This window comes from Homo sapiens, chromosome 9 (genome assembly GCF_000001405.40).
Source record: "Homo sapiens chromosome 9, GRCh38.p14 Primary Assembly".
In the NCBI taxonomy this organism is placed as follows: Eukaryota; Metazoa; Chordata; class Mammalia; order Primates; family Hominidae; genus Homo; species Homo sapiens.
Window position 1 is genome coordinate 92,312,558 of NC_000009.12, and position 19,066 is coordinate 92,331,623.

At 41.2% G+C, this 19,066-nt stretch overlaps 2 protein-coding genes across 19 annotated transcripts in view, besides 4 other annotated features; one reads left to right on the forward strand and one right to left on the reverse strand.

Annotated features, from left to right (window-relative positions):
• Positions 1-12,793, reverse strand: part of NOL8 (nucleolar protein 8) — a 27,993-nt gene extending 15,200 nt beyond the window's left edge. For 6 of the 12 annotated variants that reach the window (NR_046106.2, NM_001330722.2, NM_017948.6 and 3 more), the window contains exons 1-7: positions 12,749-12,793; positions 11,466-11,652; positions 10,884-10,946; positions 9,111-9,189; positions 6,664-6,799; positions 6,061-6,129; positions 1,710-3,581 (exon numbers count right to left, since the gene is read on the reverse strand). Coding sequence is in view for 11 of the 12 variants with exons in the window: in NM_001330722.2 (NP_001317651.1) it covers positions 1,710-3,581; positions 6,061-6,129; positions 6,664-6,799; positions 9,111-9,189; positions 10,884-10,946; positions 11,466-11,604 (2,358 nt within the window). In the remaining variant the exon portion in view is untranslated. Of the gene's footprint in view, positions 1-1,709; positions 3,582-6,060; positions 6,130-6,663; positions 6,800-7,385; positions 7,581-9,110; positions 9,190-10,678; positions 10,795-10,883; positions 10,947-11,465; positions 11,653-12,622 lie in introns of those variants that run through there. The other 6 variants (NM_001256394.2, NM_001438181.1, XM_024447594.2 and 3 more) reach the window with 6 other exon arrangements.
• Positions 12,075-12,963: an enhancer, noted in NCBI's record as "H3K27ac hESC enhancer chr9:95086914-95087802 (GRCh37/hg19 assembly coordinates)". NCBI's record gives its function as "activates a minimal SCP1, AML or CMV promoter by ChIP-STARR-seq in primed H9 embryonic stem cells {active_cell/tissue: H9 hESC(primed)}" and the evidence as "EXISTENCE:reporter gene assay evidence [ECO:0000049][PMID:30033119]".
• Positions 12,075-13,001: a biological region, named in NCBI's record as "H3K27ac hESC enhancer GRCh37_chr9:95086914-95087802".
• Positions 12,742-12,861: an enhancer, noted in NCBI's record as "active region_28594". NCBI's record gives its function as "activates an Ori minimal core promoter by ATAC-STARR-seq in GM12878 lymphoblastoid cells {active_cell/tissue: GM12878}" and the evidence as "EXISTENCE:reporter gene assay evidence [ECO:0000049][PMID:35858748]".
• Positions 12,892-13,001: an enhancer, noted in NCBI's record as "active region_28595". NCBI's record gives its function as "activates an Ori minimal core promoter by ATAC-STARR-seq in GM12878 lymphoblastoid cells {active_cell/tissue: GM12878}" and the evidence as "EXISTENCE:reporter gene assay evidence [ECO:0000049][PMID:35858748]".
• The window catches only part of CENPP (centromere protein P), a 295,062-nt gene continuing 288,906 nt past the window's right edge, over positions 12,911-19,066 (forward strand). For 5 of the 7 annotated variants that reach the window (NM_001012267.3, XM_011518689.2, XM_047423391.1 and 2 more), the window contains exon 1: positions 13,396-13,548. In NM_001012267.3, coding sequence (NP_001012267.1) covers positions 13,442-13,548 — 107 coding nt within the window. In that variant the 5' untranslated portion in view covers positions 13,396-13,441. Of the gene's footprint in view, positions 13,549-13,767; positions 13,896-19,066 lie in introns of those variants that run through there. The other 2 variants (NM_001286969.1, XM_024447543.2) reach the window with 2 other exon arrangements.

Here is a 19,066-nt window from a genome sequence, read left to right on the forward strand (position 1 = left end):
AGCTCACGCCTGTAATCCCAACACTTTGGGAGGCCAAGACAGGCGGATCACGTGAGGTCAGGAATTTGAGACCAGCCTGGCCAACATGGTGAAACCCCATCTCTACCACAAATATAAAAATTAGCTGGGCGTGGTGGCAGGTGCCTGTAATCCCAGCTACTCAGGAGGCTGAGGCAGGAGAATTGCTTGAACCCAGGAGGCGGAGATTGCAGTGAGCCGAGATCACACCATTGTACTCCAGCCTGGGCAACAAGAGCAAAACTCCATCTCAAAAAAAAAAAAAAAAAAAAAGAAAAGAAAAACCACCTATTGGGTACTATGCTGATTATCTGGGTGACAAAATAATCTGTACACCGAACCTCCAAGACACACAGCTTACCCATGTAACAAACCTGCACATATACCCCCAGAACCTAAAATAAAGGAAGAAAAAAAAAAGCATTGTCTTAAAACAACCCAATCTCAAACTGAACATGTCTAAACCTATCACTCCCTTCCCCTGCCAAGTCTACTTCCTGCCCTTTTTCCTTATCTAGTGAATGCCATCACCATCTGTTTATTTGCCTAAGACAGAAACTTACAATTCCTCTTTCTATCCCTATCCAGTTATCACCAAGTCCTATCAATTAAACTTTTTGGTATCAATTCAGTCAATCTATTCCCATTGCTGTTGTTACGGTTTTGACTTTCCACCTCCCCAAAGGCTCTCCTTGGTTACAGACGGAGCCGTTCGATTTGTTTTCATCATGGTCTGAAGGATCTCTCCCAAACAGAGGTTGACAAACTTTTTCTGTAAAAGGCCAGAGTAAATATGTTAGGCTTTGCAGGCCACATATCGTCTTTGTTCTGTACTCAAAAACTATTTTTAGCTTGAAGGCTGTACATAAATAGGTCATGGGCTGGATGGCCTTTGAGGTGTAGTTTGTCAACTCCTGTTCCAAAATAGACACAATTAATCTTCTCTCCTTTGCTTAAAATTCTTCACTCTCTTTTCATTTTATGAACAAAATGAAACCACTAGCCTCATTTCTTGCCATCTCATGCTGTATAAGTTTTAATTACACTGATTGAAAACATTCACCCTTGTATAAACGGTTCCTTTTTCCTAGAATGAAAGCCTTTCCACTCCCTTTCCACCCTTTCACCTGGGCCTGACCAATTCCCACAAATCTTTTCCTACCACTCAGCTCAGACTACAGAAGCTCCCAACTGACTTAGTGTGTCTCCTGCGTGCTGCCAAGGCACAGGGGCACAACCCCCTCCTGGCCCTGTGTAACTGAACTGTGACTGTCAGCATGCCACACCATGAGCCAAAAACTGTATGAAAGGCAAGATCACCATCCTCATACTATAAATCTGGCACTTACTATAAAGGTGTACTTAACAATTGTTAGAAGAATGAACAAAAGCCCATTACAGTAAATCTTGGCAAGACTTGGCAAGGTATAAATCACTTGACAAGTGATTTTTATGTAAATTCAGACACATTTGAATACATTACTTAACTATACCAGGTATAGCTTCTAAATGAAAGAAAATTATAAAGAAATTTTCAGATAAACCAGATGAAAAAGCTAACTCAAGAACCAAAACATGAAACTGGTGAACACCAAGACAATCAGCTCTATGGGGGCACACCTAACTTCATGGGAAAGAAAAGCTGAACTTTCTGAGTTCTTGTTAAATCCATACATTGAAAATATACTCACCAAATTTGCCAGAGCATTATGCACCAGCTTCTTCTGCACTTCTTTTGCTTTTTGCCTCGCTTCCAAGGCTGCCAAACGCTTCTCATTGTCTTCAGCATGCTTATCTTTAGCACTCACATCTGACGAATTACTAATAGAAAGTGAGAAATCAGTTTTGATTTCCCGAGTGTCCTTGGATGAGACCTTTGGTGATTTCTTGAGAGATGTGAGGCCGCTTGAATCAGACCGCTCTTCCTGTGAAGCTTCTGTCTTTGTGGTACTATGGCAGCTGTCTTTGTCAAAGCCTATGTTGTGAGTCTTTGCACTAAGACTTAAGGACTTCTTACCTTCTAATGGCCTAGAAATAGGATTCTTACTTCTCTTTTCAGAACTGCTAGGGGACACTGCCTTGCGATCCTGGCTTTCAAAAGTGGTCTGTCTTTTTTGAGGCTGAATATAGTTTGGGCCATTCGCCTTCTTTGCATGTTGGCATGGAGTCACTTCACCTAATGAGCCATTAACATATGGGGACCCATCTTCCATGGATATGATACTGGGATCCTCATGTTTCATGGAATTCTGATCTTTATTGTTAGAGGCAACACTGTCTTTCAAGGATTTTTTCATTGACTCCTTTTCATATAGACAGCCTACTCCCTTGAAAGCCTGAAATTTTGGCTTTAAATTGTTTTCCTTTGGTTTCTGTTTGCCACAGGTGTTCTCCTCTCCTTCTAACAGGGAAGCCACAATCTCCGCAGGACGAATACACTGTCGGCCTCTGCGGAGGCCAGTGGGAGTCTTGGGGCTCTTGGAGCCTCTGTCAAACTTGCATTGGGTGGTGGTTTCTGGTCCATCACTCTTAGTATCTTCATTTGGAACCTTCAGATCACTGCCAGCCAATTGTTCCAAATCAGCTAAAGTGAGATTCACACGAAGGCAGTTTTTCATCATGGCATTATACTCCTCACCTCCTTCAGAGTCAGCTAATTCTGATGCAGAATCAGCATCTTCACTGCTACTGGAGTGAGAGGGAGATTTACGATTAAGAGACTTTAATCCATGACTGAGGGCTGACTCTACATTGCTTTTTCTTTTTTGTAGTTTAATACAGTGATCAGAAAGCTCACAGTTTTCTCTATTTTTGAAAGAAGTTTTCTTCGTAGATTTTTCCATTTGTGAAAATTCTGTACTGTTTTTGACCTTAGCAACATTTTTTTTCATCGCAATAATTTCATCTGTATCTCCTGAGTCATACTCACGATCATTTCTCATAATATCATCATCACTATCATGGCAAGAGACACGATTTTTGATACCTAAACCTATTAAAGAATGCAGTTTGTGAACGCCTGATTTGAAATCATCCCTTACAACTTCAAAAGGATCACTTTCAGATTCATTTATTGAGGGTTGTGTAGTTCTCTGTAAGTTTTCCTCTTTCGCAATCATCATTCTCAATTCATCTTCAGAATCAGTATCATCATCAGAAATGCTGTTTCTCTTCTTGGCAGTTTCCAAGCCAGAAGTCTTAAAAGGTAGATTTTTAAGTTTCTGAGTATCAGAAACAGGTACAGGAGATGATTTAGAAGGAGTAATGGAATCACAAGTTCTTTTTTGTGCAGCCTGTTGCTGTGTTAAGGGTGGTCTCTCTATTACCCTCCTGGGCCTTGTACTCATGGCCAGAGACCCAGTGGAACTCTCATCCTTCTGCACTTTTATTATCTTCTTGGGAGGGCCATGAAAGTCAGAGAACTCTCCTCGCCGTTTCTTACTCATAGGGTCATTCCCTCCTTCTAATTCCCAAGTCAGGCTGGATATAGGAATGGTGTTTGAGAAATCCTCCCCTATCTTCTTCAGGTTGTGGCAGTATTTTGAGGGATCATATTTGATGATGTTACGCAAGTCAAGAAACAAAACTAAAGCACTTGGTTTTAGGAAAACTCATCAATCTTTGATACAAAAAATATTGCTTAATCTCAAATAAGTCATTTCCCCCCCCTTTCAGTTTCCTGTAAAAGAAAATGAGGACTTAACTAGGTTACCTTTCAGGGTCTAAGAAACTGAGCTTTCTATGACATTTGCTGAGTTAAAGTCTAGTACCACCACTATTAGTTGGCAGAAATTACTTGGAGTGTATGTGGATATTATAGCAAACCTATTCAGATTATATTATAGGTACACAGGTCTCAGGGCTATTTTCTGTAAATCACAGAAATCCAACCATCGAACTGATACAGTAAAGCAAAGTTCTGGGTTCAGGAGAACCCAGAGGACATGGCCACATGTGTGTCCTTTACTCTCAAATTCTTTTGGCTATTTCTGTTCTCTCAGTTCTTACTCATCCTAACTCTGATTCTCCTAGCTGAATAACATCCACTTCACATGAACTCACTCTCTGCAACATTTTTAGGTCTTTATTAGAAAGCTGGCCTGGGCACGGTGGCTCATGCCTGTAATCCCAGCACTTTGGGAGGCCGAGGTGGGCCGATTACATGAGCCCAGGAGTTCGAGACCAGCCTGGGCAACATGGTGAGAACCTGTCTTAAAAATAAAAATTAAAAATTAAAAAAAATCTAATAAATCTTTACCAGGCCTATGTCGACACTATCCGGGAAAGATTCTAGTTAACATCGATGTGTTGTAATGATGGCTGTCATTTGCTGATTCCCTAAAGCATATGAATAGGCAAGTATTAAGGTGCTTTAAGCTATCACTCTTTTTTGTTTTGAGACAGGGTTTCACTGCTACCCAGGCTGGAGTGCCACGGCATGATCGTGGCTCAATACAGCTTCAACCTTCCAGGCTCAAGTGATCCTCCCAACTCAGCCTCCCCAGTGGCAGGGACCACAGGCATGTGCCACCGGGCCCAGCCTGATTTTTCTTTTATTAATATTTTTTGTAGAGTTACAGTCTCACTATGTTGCCTAGACTGGTCGCAAACACCTGGGCTCAAGTGATCCCCCAGTGGCCTCCCAAAGTGCTGGGATTACAGGTGTGAGCCACTGCACCCCACCTTAAGCGATTACTCTTGAAAGTCCCTTTTTTCAATAACTACTTATATGTGCCAGTTATATGTGAGGTGTGCCAAAAAGTGTCTATTGTCTCTACTGTCCTTCAATATCTTCCTCTTTGCCATCAGCAGCTGCCATTGGTGGAAAGCTGGAAAGTGGAAAAGAAGAAATCAGTACTTTCCTGACTTTGAGCCACTTGTAGGGAGGGCAGAGGTCACAGCTATGTCCGGTGCAACTAGGGCCTGGATTCAGGTAGTAGTGGTTTCAGTGGCACAGTAGCTGTGAGCTCAGAGGACACACGTTTTTGCTTCTCTAGTCCCAGTGGGGTAGTGGTTTACTGCAGTTGTCAATCAGTGGGGAATCTGACCTTTGGCTTTTGCTCCTCCAGCACTTGTTTAACTAACTGCATATATTATAATCCCTCTGTTTCAAATACCTGCTACTGTTCCCCTTACTGACTGACACCAGGGTTACAAGCTAAAGAATACATCAAGACGGTCAGGTGCGGTGGCTCATGCCTGTAATCCCAGCTCTTTGGGAGGCCAAGGTGGGCAGATCACAAGGTTAGGAGATCAAGACCATCCTGGCCAACATGGTGAAACCCCGTCTCTAGTAAAAATACAAAAAAATTAGCCAGGTGTGGTGGCACACACCTGTAGTCCCAGCTACTTGGGAGGCTGAGGCAGGGGAATTGCTTGAACCCAGGAGGCAGAGGCTGCAGTGAGCCAAGATTGTGCCACTGCACTCCAGCCTGGGGACAGAGCAAGACTCCATCTCAAAAAAAAAAAAAAAAAAAAAAAAAGATTAAAAAAAAAGAATACATTAAGACACACTGCTCAGAATTCCATGATACCAGGTCTTCAAGGTCTTAGACAATGTGACCTCACTGAATAGGCATTAGAATTTGCTCACACTCTGCTCCAAACTATTTCTCAACCCACCATCCTCGTGCTTGCCCACATATTTTTATCTACTATTCCTACTCCCAAGACTACTTCCCATCACTTCTTATTAATTCAAAACCTACCTCAATTCTAAAGCCTTCTTTAATGATGGTCTCTGGGTCTCTCACCCCTCTTTAGCTCCTTCAGCAATGGCTTTGAATCCATGTATGACAATATGAATAAATTAATAAACCAACCTGCTTCTTTGGCACTCATCATTTGAATTACTTATTGTATAAAACCTCAATCCATTTTCTCATGCTCTAATTGTTTCATACATGTAGGTGAGTACCAAGAAACTGGGAACACGCAAACAAACACCTAAAGATTCACTGATAAGAGACAGTGAAATGCTAAAGGTATTTTACAAGTATCCGTCACTGTGGTAAATAATTATGTTGAGAGGCCAAAGGATATTTTACGTTTATGTTGATTTTTAAGGTGAAGAACAGGTAAGACTCTTCCAAATTTGCTCACAACCCAATTCTAAAAGAAAAAAAAAGAATTTATTTACTATATGTGACACAAATGGAAAAGATTTAATAACAATATTAGGTAAATACAACAAAAAAATCAGTGGGCTATGATTACTGTTGGGTTTAGTTTTCTGACAATGAAATAAGAGTTACCAAAGAGAAAAATTGTGAGAGGAAAGAAAAAAAAAGGAAGATTTGGAGCAGCTATCAATCCCAAGTAAACCGTGTAAGATGGTTTACAAAAAACACTGGCTGCTAATTTGAACAGGCAAACTTGGGACCTGCCTGTATTCCTTGCTACCTATGTCCCTTGAAAGTCCACCTCTGCTTGAGTTTTGATTTCTTTCTCTGTAAAATGATGGAGAACTATGCTTACCTAAGAGTTGTAAATGCACCTTGAAAATCATAAAGTCCTATCTATGTTAATTGCCTCCAAGAAAGGGGAAAAGAGTAACTGGTTTTAGACATGACACCCACAATCACGTGATCTCAGGCATCAGTTTCCAAGACCATGTAATTGGCTCAGGCTACAGAGGAGACTCACCTTATGCCCTGGCACTTCTGTCCCTGGCACAGCTTTCATATGGAAATCCACTCCTCCTGTCTTTTCTAACAAGTTGGCGTTACCTGTTGTTGATTCTTCTTTCTTAGCTTTTGCTGCTTCTCTCTCTTGGGCCAATCTGAATCAAAAAGAAAATACAAATAAAAGAGTCAAAATAATCAGCCACGTAAAATGGTTATTTCACTTTAGGTGTGCCTAAATGAGCACTATAAACAGCTTTGTAGTATTAAAAACCAAAATAAAACAAAAATGCTTTCTTAGTAGCATAATAGCTTACCTACTTATCTGAACATACAATGTTTTTATTATAGAATACTGGAAGACAGAACCGTTAAGAAAACAAAACATATTCCTTATCCCTCATCTTGTTAATATTTTGTTTACTTAACTTCATCTTTGTTCTGTATGTAAATATACATATTTTATAATGTAATCCAAATATCATAAGCACAGTTGGGTACACTTCATTTATCAACTTATACGTTCTTTGAAAACATCACTATGATTGCTGTACAACATGCCTTTCCATCAATCTACTGTAGTTTATTGACCAGTCCCTTACCACCAGCAACTGAGCTATACGGTTGGACAGCAGTGACAAGCTGTGCTGTCAGGGCTGTCCCACCAGAGCATGAGGGTTCTTTTCTTAGCCCATCCACTACACTACAGTCAGTCTCCCAAATCCCTGACATGCACGCTTATACCTGTGCTCTGCTCCAGTGGATGTCCCAGTTCCCCTTTATGGAAGACCAAGACCATGGATCGCAAGTTCTCTCAATTTTCCCCTTTCAATTTATATACGTTTGGCATTTTATATTATCTTCTCTCCATTCACTCTTCCCCATGACGAAGGTATCTTTCGGAGCCCAATTTGTTAGGTCTTGATTATCCATATCCTCCTAATGAAGAGAATGCCACCTCTTCTGATTCAAATCACCGCCACCTTCTTCAGGCCTGGACAACTGCACAGAGCAGTCCTCACTGGCCTCTTTGCCTCTGGTCTGTCTCCTTTATGTCCCAGAATAACCATCAGACCCATGCTTCTCAGGCATATCCACGCAGATACTCCAAGCAGCAGCACTGTGTGCTCAACCTGCTCAGCATGGGGCTCTAGTGCCTGTACACAGTAGGCTGGCAACTGCTGCTGGAATGAAAGGTATATAACCACCCTGTTCACAGTCCTAGGCTTCAGCTGAAGAACAAAATCAAATTCTCACCTTTTTCATAAGGCCAGTCCCCCAAAACATGCCTCAAAGTAGGTTGCTTGCCACTCGTTTTAGAATATATCTGTTCTTGTTACATTTCATTGGTCTGGAACAAGCTTATCAACTCTCCTGGTCATTCTACCTGTATATTCTTTTTTTTTTTTCCTTTTTTTTTGTTTGAGACAAGAGTTTCACTCCTGTTGCCCAGGCTGGAGTGCAATGGCACAATGTAGGCTCACTGCAACCTCCGCCTCCCAGGTTCAAGTGATTCTCCTGCCTCAGCCTCCCAAGTAGCTGGGATTACAGGAGCCCATGACCACAACCAGCTAATTTTTGTATTTTTAGTAGAGACGGGGTTTCACCACTTTAGCCAGGCTGGTCTTGAACTCCTGACCTCAGGTGATCCACCCGCCTCGGCCTCCCAAAGTGCTGGGATTACAGGCGTGAGCCACCGTGCCCGGCCTCTATCTGTATATTCTTAAATTGTTTCCTATTTTGAAAACTCCCCAACAATACCTTTTCTTCCTGAAAATACCTTTAGGATTTTAAAAGCTCTAATGGTTTTTATAATACATTGTCTTGCTCTTAAATCACTTGCATAATCACTCTTATGCCTGTCATACAGTGATCTCCTATTTCCTTTATATTTTGGTATGACACTAGCATTAACAGTCAAAATCAACATATGCAATTTAGTAGTCTACTAAAATTTAAATGCAGACAATGCTAAGATTCAGCAACTCCATTTTCTGATATAAACTGAGAGAAACACCTGCATATACATAGGATATGTGCTCCAGGATCATCTATGACCATGAAAAAGTAGAAACAGTCATCAGTGGGAAGGGACCACTACATTGTGGTATAACCATTTTCTGAAATACTACTAACAATTGTTATAAAGGGAGAAGATCTACATTGCCACAAAAGGGTGTGTTAACAAAGAGAAAATAAGTACATATATGCTTTTATAGCTCATTAACAGAGAAAATAAGTACATATATACTTTTATAGCTTATTACATACATACGTAAATGCATGAAATTATCCTTTTTGTTCGTCTGGGGTGAAGGGGATTCAGAGTTGAAAGGGATTTCAGCTCTACTTATATGTTTGAATTTGTTAAGAATATAATACTATATTACTTGATAATTTGAAATAATATATAAAACCACTTACAATATAAAAAAAATAGGGCTTAAATCCATGTGGAGCAAAACTTACCTGTGCAGAAAGCTTTCTTTTGCTAGTTGAATTTGTAATGTTCCACCTTTCCATTTTGTTTTATTTAAAACAGACATACCTATAAAGTAAAGAATTATTACAAGTACATGGCAATGTAAAAATATATTTCAGCTTGTGCTTTTTCTAATTATTTAGTATCAAGAAAAGCAGGCTTGTTTATCACAAAGAGATCCAGGGGAAGTGGAAGAAAAGAAATGAGACCTGGAGAGAGGGAGCCTAGGCTCTTGTTTCATCTTGACAACTTACCAAAAGAGTCTTTACACTCCCTATCTCACAGTGTTACTAGATTGGAATGAGGCAAAATGTGTAAAAAGTAAAGCAAAATTTATTTGCAATTTGTTTGTAAACAAATGTCAGGAACCTCTGAATAACTGATATTTAATGTATATTTTATTGTTATTTCCTGTAACTATAAAACATATATTTCCTGTAACTATAAAACAATCATCTTTTCAGGTGAATCAGAGGACACTCTGGAATCCTACAGCACCTTAATTTTATTTATCACCTCATACTAATTATCACTGTAGAACTTGCAGATGAATTAACTATGAGTGACTGAACTGTTTGAATTACTATGCCGTAGTAATTGATTTCTCTGAGCATCTGCCGTCAGCTTCCTTAATAATACCATTAACAGAATTTTGTAGGTGGTAGATACTGTACTAAGTACAAATTTATCTTTTCTTTTTGAGACAGAGTGTCCTTCTGTCGCCCAGGCTGGAGTGCAGTGGCACTATCTTGGCTCACTGCAACCTCTGCCTCCCTGGTGATTCTCCTGTCTCAGCCTCCCAAGTAGCTGGGATTACAGGTGTCTGCCACCACACCCAGCTAATTGTGGTATTTTTAGTAAAGATGGGGTTTCACCATGTTGGCCAGGCTGGTCTCAAACTCCTGACCTCAAGTGATCCACCTGCCTTAGCCTCCCAAAGTATTGCAAATGTATCATTTAATTTAATTCTCACAGAAATATTATGAGGCAAGCACTATCTTTTGTCATTCATCACATAAGCAAACTTGGGCTGAGAAGTTTAAGTAACTTGCCACAGGTCACAAAGCCTAGTTGATGTATTCTTAACCACAACTTCACATTTATCACATATATTCCTCAATGTAAAATAGAATAAAGCAATCTTTTCGCAAATGAAATTACAAAAGACTGATTGCCCTCTTCCTCTATTAGCGTGTTCCCTTTACTTATTTTCCGTGTCTTTTTTCACTTTTTGGCCTCCAAATAACTAGAATATGTTACTGTGTCAGCGGCAGTATGGATTATCTCCCATTCTTCATTGAAGGCCACTGTTTGCCCTTGACTTTACTAAACTTATCAACAAGAGATTTCACAATTTCAAGGATACGGTCTTACAAGGGTGTATTTTAAAGCCCCCTCAAGAGTGTTTAGTGACAAGGATTAGCTGTCAAAGAAATGATCAGACTGAGGGGGAATGTGGCATGATATTCAGTGGGATATATGTAACAGGCAGTTTCTATGAAAGTTTGGTCCCTTGTCCAAAATATTTGAGAATAGCAGTTTTAAGTAAACCCACCAGTAAAGTGCTACCATGTCTGCTGATGCCAAATGGAATGGACCTAAACCTGCTGAGTTATACGATACTGGAATTCTCTTCATCACTGCTGTCCCTCTGGATAACGTGAAAAATGGCTGTGGAGGTTTAGATTTAGAACCAGTTATTCCAAGTTACAGAGTCATACAAACTGGCAAACAGTATAGAAAATATATGATGATCTTACATTTTTTCAGGTCCGCTTCTGCTACACTGATGTTGATATATGCAAAAACTTTCTGTGGGTTTCCTAAAAAACAAACAAACAAACAAACAAAACAATTTATTTAAATTCTTATCCAGAGAGCAATGTAAAAACGGTTGTTTCTAAATTAAAAAAAAAAATAGCTCTTGAAAACTTATTATTTCAAAGATAAACCTTGTTTTTTATTGGCTATAAAAATAAGCATAATTATCAAAATATTCCAAAAAAAAAAAGAAGAAAATGTCCAGTAGTCAGATAAGGAAACATTTTGATTGTATGCTAGTGATAGTCTACTTAACGGGACACTTAATCCATGTTAGAAAATTCTAGTTCTCAAAACTGGAAGTTAATATGTTTCTGAAATCAGATGTTTTAGAATTTGGAATTTTTTCTTATTTCAGAAACAAATTCTGGTCAAGTTCCACATCACACATTATACCTCCACAACATCACTTAAAACTTTTGGTGTTCAGAGCTAACATTTATCTTGGGGTTGTTTTATTTTCTAGCACTTAACCTGAGTTATGTCTGCCTATAACTGCCCAGTGAAGGACCATAAATTACCTTGGTCATCTTTCCGTGTGATGATCTCCACATCCGAAACTTCTCCAAATCTGCTGAACTGATTTTGTAGGTCTGCCTCAGAAATGTCCTGGCTAAGGCCACCCACATAAAGGCGCTTCGTTTCTCTGTTCACTTTCATGAAGGCTGGGCATATACTTGGGTGTGTTTCAGTGGGAAAAGTAATTTTCTGTATACAGAGAAGAGTTCTTTCCCTTAGTTCTTCTAAAATCTAACAAAACAACTACTTCCTCTGAACCTTCTGTATCAAATCCGTCTCCTGGATCTGTATTTCACTTCCTATTGTATTACTTCCAAATTTTAGTCTTCGAGGTTTTGCCCAAGCCCTACATCCACATCTTTCATGAATGCACTTTGGAACAGCAACCCCATACCCATATAGACACAGGTACAGACAGAGTTTTTTTCCTCCAAATGGCCATAATATTACACTCTATCCCTCTTAATTTTATGTATTCATGTTTTTAGATGTTTTTCCTTGACTCACTCATACATTCATTTACTGTCTTTAACAAAGTCTGACAGAAACAGGATGTAACGCACTAAAAGATAAAAAGAGCTAGCCTACCTCTTCCTAATTGTCTCCACCCCCAACCTACCCACCCCAGCCTTCTTCCTCCTAGAAGACCCAAAGAAGTGAATAGAGAGGCTAGGAGCTCCTTATAGTCACAAAAGAATAAAACAAATGGCACAATATTATGTCACAATAAAAGTGCTGCAAAGTGGGGTTCAGACACAAAGATCAAGGGATATAGCGAATACAGACTTGTGTTTTTGCTATGTGCCTGCATTGTACAAAGTAGTTTGCATGTTTCCCATTTTTCAGGAGAGCAGAAGAGGTTAAGTCACTTCCTCAATGCCATACCGAAAATTAGTGAATCCAGGATTATAATGCAGGTCTACCTTCAGAACTTGGAATTCTTAACACTATACTATGAAGGTTGCTGTATCACAGGGGACTCAGGAAAACTTTTCCAGAGGTACTAGGGCCCATCATAGTATCTCTCATTTCGTTTAGCACCCGGCAGGCGCTCAGCTCTCGCCCTTCCCTTCCCCAAGAGCTGACAGACTCTTTCCAGAAGAGACTCCCAACCAGCGTCCACCACATGGCGTGTATTCTGGGCAGAACTTCGGCCTACCTCTTCCCGATAGTCTCCGCCCCCAGCCTACCCACGGCAGCCTTCTTTCTCTGAGAAGACCCAAAGAAGTGAAGAGAGACTAGGAAACGGCCCTGTGACTTCTCATGCCCGAAACCCACTCCTCACCACGTCGTTCACCTAAAGCCAGCGCCGCTGCAGCCCCTAACTTCTGGTCACGTGTCCCAACGGAGCATCCTCTCTTCCTTCCTACTCGATTTCCAACCCAGCCTCCTAAGGTTCCGTTACCACAATTCAGTTCCCAAGAGCTTTTAATTTCCTTTTCCGTCCTCCCACCTTCCCTGACGCCTCCGTCACCTCCCCCTCAACGACTGCAAAAGAGCCTAAACCAAAATCCCCTAGTTTCTATTGAACACTATCGCTGTGTGTACCAATTCCTGGACTAGGTCGGCGTAAGAGAGGAAGTAGGTGAAAAAAATAAAGAGGCGCTCCCCTCCACGTGATCCCAGCCCTGCCTCTTTAGTGAGGCACGCGGCCGGGCGGCTCCAAGGCTGCCGGCTAGGGTGAGCAGCGGAGCGCTTGGGCTTGGAGTAGCAAAGAACGCGCTCTCCAGAGAAAGTATAGCCACTGCTTAGACAGCCAGGGAAACGTGTGCGGGGAAGTGGAGGACTCAGGCTCTCGTGCGAGAGCGGAGTTGGACGTGCAGGGCCGCTGGGGTCACGCGGAGCTCTCCCGCCTCCCCTCCGCGTGAGCTCTGGGATGGTCCGCGCCGGGAGCGCGCGCGAGGCTTGAAGCGCGGGTGAAGCGCGCAGGTCGGAGTGACAGCTGCGCTGCCGGCCCGGCTGCGGTCAGCAACGCGCCATGGACGCAGAGCTGGCAGAGGTGCGCGCCTTGCAAGCTGAGATCGCGGCCCTGCGGCGAGCGTGTGAGGACCCACCGGCGCCCTGGGAAGAGAAGTCCCGAGTCCAGTACGTGACCACCCCAAGTCCCCCAGGGCCCGCTGGCCAGGGTTCCCGGGCCAGGCGGGTGAATCTCCACAGACATCCTCGGTCTCCTACTCCCAGCCCTAGAAAGTGGGCATGAACTGGCATTGATCCTGTCATGACGATGGCCTAGAGTTGGGAGCAGCGCGTACGGCGCCCAGCTGTAAACGCATTGCAGGGTATTAACTCGTTTAATCGCAGTCGTCTGTGTGGATGACTGACAAGGAGGAAGTCTTGACTATATCCCTAGCTAGATAATTCCGCCTCCAGTATGCAGAAGTATCTCTAGTTGGGATTTAATAACTCCGTTTGGTTTCATGGCATTTGTTTTGGTAGGTCAGCTAACCATCTCAACTGATAATGACTTTGTGTTTACGATGACATAAAAATTCCTTTGAAAAATAACTTCGGTAAAAAACTAAGTTGATAAAAGAAAAGTAGTTAATATAGACTGCAGGAGAATTTGACATTCCTCTGAGGTAGGTGCTACTGTTAGCCCTGTTTTATAGTTGAAGAAACTGAGGCTCAGAGAAGTTAGGTAGCTTGTCCAAGGTTCCAGAGAAAGGAATTGTCAGAGATGGATTGGGACCCAAAAATTTTACTCCAAAGTCTGGGCACTTTTGGTTTATTGAAGGAGAGGGAGAGAAAAGCTCTGCAACCGTAATTATGTATTATCATCTCAAACATAGAAGCCTCTCGAAAACATAAACTGTCTTCAATTTTTGAGTCAAGAGTAATTTGACATAGGTGCAGAAAGAATGGGATTTTTCCTGAGCTAACTGGAGAAGAATTGGTAGAAAATGGGAAGGAGGAGATCTACAGAAAATGTCTGCGTGCGGTCATGAAAGTAGAGGAAGCTGTGACTGGTTAAAGGGAGAGGAAAAAGGTGTGCTCCTCCACAAATGAGAGTAAATGTATTAAAGACCCTTGCTATTTGAGGTGTGCTCCACAGATGGGACGCTTTAGCATTACCTGGCGGTTTGTTAGAGCGACATCCTGACCTACTGAATCAGAATCTGCATTTTAAAAAAATACACTGCCCTAACAGAGGATTTGTGTGCACACTTGGAAGTTTAAGAACCAGGGAAAAATAGTTTCTTTACTGGCCACAAGATTTCATTAGTCCCCATAGTAGTGTCAACTGAAAAATCATGAGATCTGCAAATTTAGAGAGACTATTTCTTAAAAAGGGTTACAGTCTGCAAAGTGGCCATCCTGACAGGCTAGGAAGCATAGTCTCAGGCAAAGCAGAAAGGCCCACACTTTGGAGGAGGAGGGGTTGGGGCAGGGATTTATGCTGTATGAGTGGGCTAGGTATACATATTCAACAGGTTATAGGAGGGGCTATGAATATTCACGAAGGGAGATGTGCTCACCTGTACTGAATAAAAATGCATATTACATGCACTCCATATTCATTTTGGGAAGCTGACTTAATATTTAAATGCATTACAATTAGGCCCTGTACGTCAAAAGTTGAAGGAGGGAAGCAAAGGTACTTAAGTACACAGGCCTTGTAAACCTGTTAGAACAAGTCCATGGTTGGTGATCTTATCAAAAGAAAATTTTTGAAATCATTCTCTTGTCCTATCAAAGCCTGTGGAACAGGGGAATCAGTTAGCATCTGGTGGTGGATGAACTGCAATTATTTCAATATTGCTTATCTGGAGGCCAGTGCTAGTGAAAAAAATATTGTGGCAGTTAGAACATAGTTCATTCTTTTAAAGGTAGGGGGTATGTGACTTAACCCTTGCCTGGCATGGCCTTAGGTCTTGTTTATAATTTGGTATCTTATTGCCACAGAGTCCGTTCTGCAACTCTTACGATCTCTATTTTAACATTAATGCTGGTCAGTTGTTGTGTCTACATCCCAAATAGGAAGGGGTATAACGAGGTGTGTCTGACCTCCCATCCTGTCATGGTTAAGAACTGAGTTTTTAAGGTTTCTTTGGGGTCCCCTTGACCAAGAGGGAGTCGGTTCAGGTGATTGTGGGGGTGGGGTAGGATTTTATTTTTAGTTCTTAGTAGATTATTTATATAATCTGGGACTTCTCAGTGGTTAAATTGGAAAGTCAGAAGAGTCCAGATTGTGGGAGACATTAAATGTCAGTCCAGGGTGTTTGGATTTAACCGTGAGGTTTCTTTTCACTATAGTGGAGGAGGAGGATTGGAACCTATGTACCAAGCTATTTTTTTAAGTGATTATAAGTGGTTGGATGGATTGGAGGTAGGAAAATTGGAGCTAAATTATTCAGCTATATCCATATGTCCACACTGTGGAGCCAAATTGCCTGCTTTCAAATCCTGTCTCTGCTATTGGCTGAGTGATCTTGGTTAAGTGAGCTCCCCCTTTCTGTGCTTCAGTTTCCTCCGTGGTAAAATTATACCCAAGTTTTTGGGTTGCTGTGAGGACTAATTGAGTTAATATATGTAGTTCATTTAGAAGAGTACTTGCCTCATAATAGTAACTAACACTCATTAGTAGACCATTGACCTTTAAACTCGTGTACAGATTGATTTTAAAGGAAAAAAAATTCTTGCAAGCTCCTAATTCTGACAAAAAATTTTTATGTTATGAGGACAAACTTACAAATAATAAAACCACAAAGTGAATAAAATTCAAACAAATCCAAAATAGCTCAAACTAACATCATTAGTTGAAATACACAAATATTTTGCTCAAACTAAATAACTGCTATGAATAAGAATATGCAGATTTTCTTTTTGTGGCAAAATATACATAAGATTTACTATTTTAACCATTTTTGAGCGTTCAGCTCAATGGCATTAAACACATGCACATTGTTGTACAGCCATCACCACTGTCCATCTTCAGAACTTTTTCATCACCCCTAAACTGAAACACCATACCTATTAAACACGAACTCCCTACTAGCCACTCTGACAACTGCAGGTTCTTTTTTGAGTTCTGCATATCCAGCCTTTAATGATGACTTGGTTCTCTTACCACTTTGCTCTATCGGAAATACCTTGAAATTTTCCTTCATAGTTTGCTGTGACATTTGGTGTTCACTTGTCAGAAGCTCATTTATATTTATGGCTTTTTTTTTTTTTTTTTTTGAGACGGAGTTTCGCTCTTGTCGCCCAGGCTGGAGTGTGGTGGCGCAACCTCAGCTCACTGCAACCTCCGCCCCCTGGGTTCAAGGGAGTCTCCTGCCTCAGCCTCCCGAGTAACTGGGATTACAGGCACCCGCCACCATGCCCAGCTAATTTTTTGTATTTTTACTAGAGATGGGGTTTCGCCATGTTGGGCAGTCTGGTCTCGAACTCTTGACCTCAGGTGATCTGCCCACCTCGGCATCCCAAACTTCTGGGATTACGTGAGCCACCGTGCCCGGCCGCACATCATTTATATATGAAGATTGTCTCTGTTCTTTTTTCTTTTTCTTTTTCTTTTTTGTTTTGTTTTTTGAGAGAGGGTCTCACTCTGTTGCCCATGCTGAAGTGCAGTGGCATGATTATGACTCACTGCAACCTTCACCCACCTCCCATGCTCAAGCAATCGTCCTGCCTCAGCGACCCTCCACCAGCCAAGTAGTTGGGACTGAAGGCATGGCACCTGCCACTATGCCCAGATAATTTTGTGTGTGTGTGTGTGTGTGTATTTTTTGGTAGACATGGGGTTTTACCATGTTGGCCCGACTGGTCTTGAACTCCTGGGCTGCCTCAGGATTACAGGAGTGAGTCGCTGTGCCCAATCTGTTCTTTTTTCCTTGACTTCTATATTTAATGTAATTTGTAGGGGCATCAGTCTATGATGGCAAATGCAAAAGAAGCTGTGGTAGTTTCATGATACAGAATATACTTATATTAACATTTTAAATTAGCATTAAAACAAAATTTGAGACAAATTTTACAGACTTTATTAAGTCTTGGATTCTCAGTGTGAAGAATATAGAGTTAGATTATTCTGTGTAGAGATGGTATAAGGTCATAAGAGCATTGGTTAATGTAGTAGAATTAGAAATACAAAAGGAAGAATAGTTATGTGAGGGAGCAGAACGGATGGCAGTAAGTCCAGATGTCAGGCAAGTGAAGGAGTCAAGGATAACTTCCAAGGTATAGAGCCTGACATACCAAGGGAAATATTTTATTATTAACAAATGTAGGGTAATTTAGAGGAAAAGCAGATTCCAAGAGAAACGATTTGGTGAGCTATCAAGCTAGATCTACCTTGCAGGAAGAAGAGATACATGGTTAGAGGTATATTTTAAGAGTTACTGGCATAGAGGAGCTAAGGCTAATCATTTAGTGTTCCTGCAGAATGAAAGAATACATATTTAGGATAGCAGAAGTAAGAGTGTTAGGGTTTTCCTCTAATGTTGGAGACAAGAAGCTGACCCTAGATAGCAAATGAGAATTGGGATAATTATGCCCAAGAATCCAAGGAAGAGATGTTTTAAGCTGGCCGGAAAAGTCAACAGTATAGAATGTAGCAGAGTGTTTAAAGGAAATAATGGATGACAAAAAAAAAATACCATCTAATACAATTATTAGCTAAAATTTCTTTTTTTAAAAAAGTTTAAGTTTTTTTTTTCTTTTCTTTGTTTTTTTTTTTTTTTGTTGAGACAGAGTCTTACTTTGTTGCCCAGGCTGGAATACAGTGGCGTGATCTTGGCTCACTGCAACCTCTGCCTCCCATACTCAAGCAATTCTCCTGCCTCAGCCTCCTGGGTAGCCAGGATTACAGGCACCCGCCACCACTCGAGGCTAATTTTTTGTATTTTTAGTAGAGAAGGGGTTTCACCATATTGGCCAGGCTGGTCTCGAACTCCTGACCTCAAGTGATCCACCTGCCTTGGCCTCCCAAAGTGCTGGGATTGCAGGCGTGAGCCACTGCGCCAGGCCAACTAAAATTTCATTCTTTTTCTCAAGGAAAATATATTTATATGTTCTCAATGAAGAATGTCTGGCCATAGTGATGTTTAAAGAGATTTGCTATTTCTTTTTCCGATAAATCTCTTTCTTACTATAAAACGTTCTGTGGTGTTTACTTTTAGAAATTAAAGTTAGCTAATTGATTTTATTTTTTAATTTCTTTCTTTTTTTATTTTTTTGAGAGGGAGTCTCGCTCTGTCGCCCAGGTTGGAGTGCAGTGGCACAATCTCTGCTCACTGCAAGCTCCGCCTCCCAGGTTCACACCATTCTCCTGCCTCAGCCTCCCGAGTAGCTGGGACTACAGGCGCCTGCCACCACGCCTGGCAAATTTTTTGTATATTTAGTAGACATGGGGTTTCACTGTGTTAGCCAGGATGGTCTTGATCTCCTGACCGCGTGATCCACCCGCCTTGGCTTCCCAAAGTGCTGGGATTACAGGCGTGAGCCACGGCGCCTGGCCTATTTTTTAATTTCAAGACATCTTTTAAAATAATTTGAGAGATATATCAGACATTTAGGCTGGAATTTCATGGGTCAGAACACACATTGTAATTTTGCAAAGTAGTCCTGTTATAATTTATTTGAAAGGTGTTTCTAATATGTG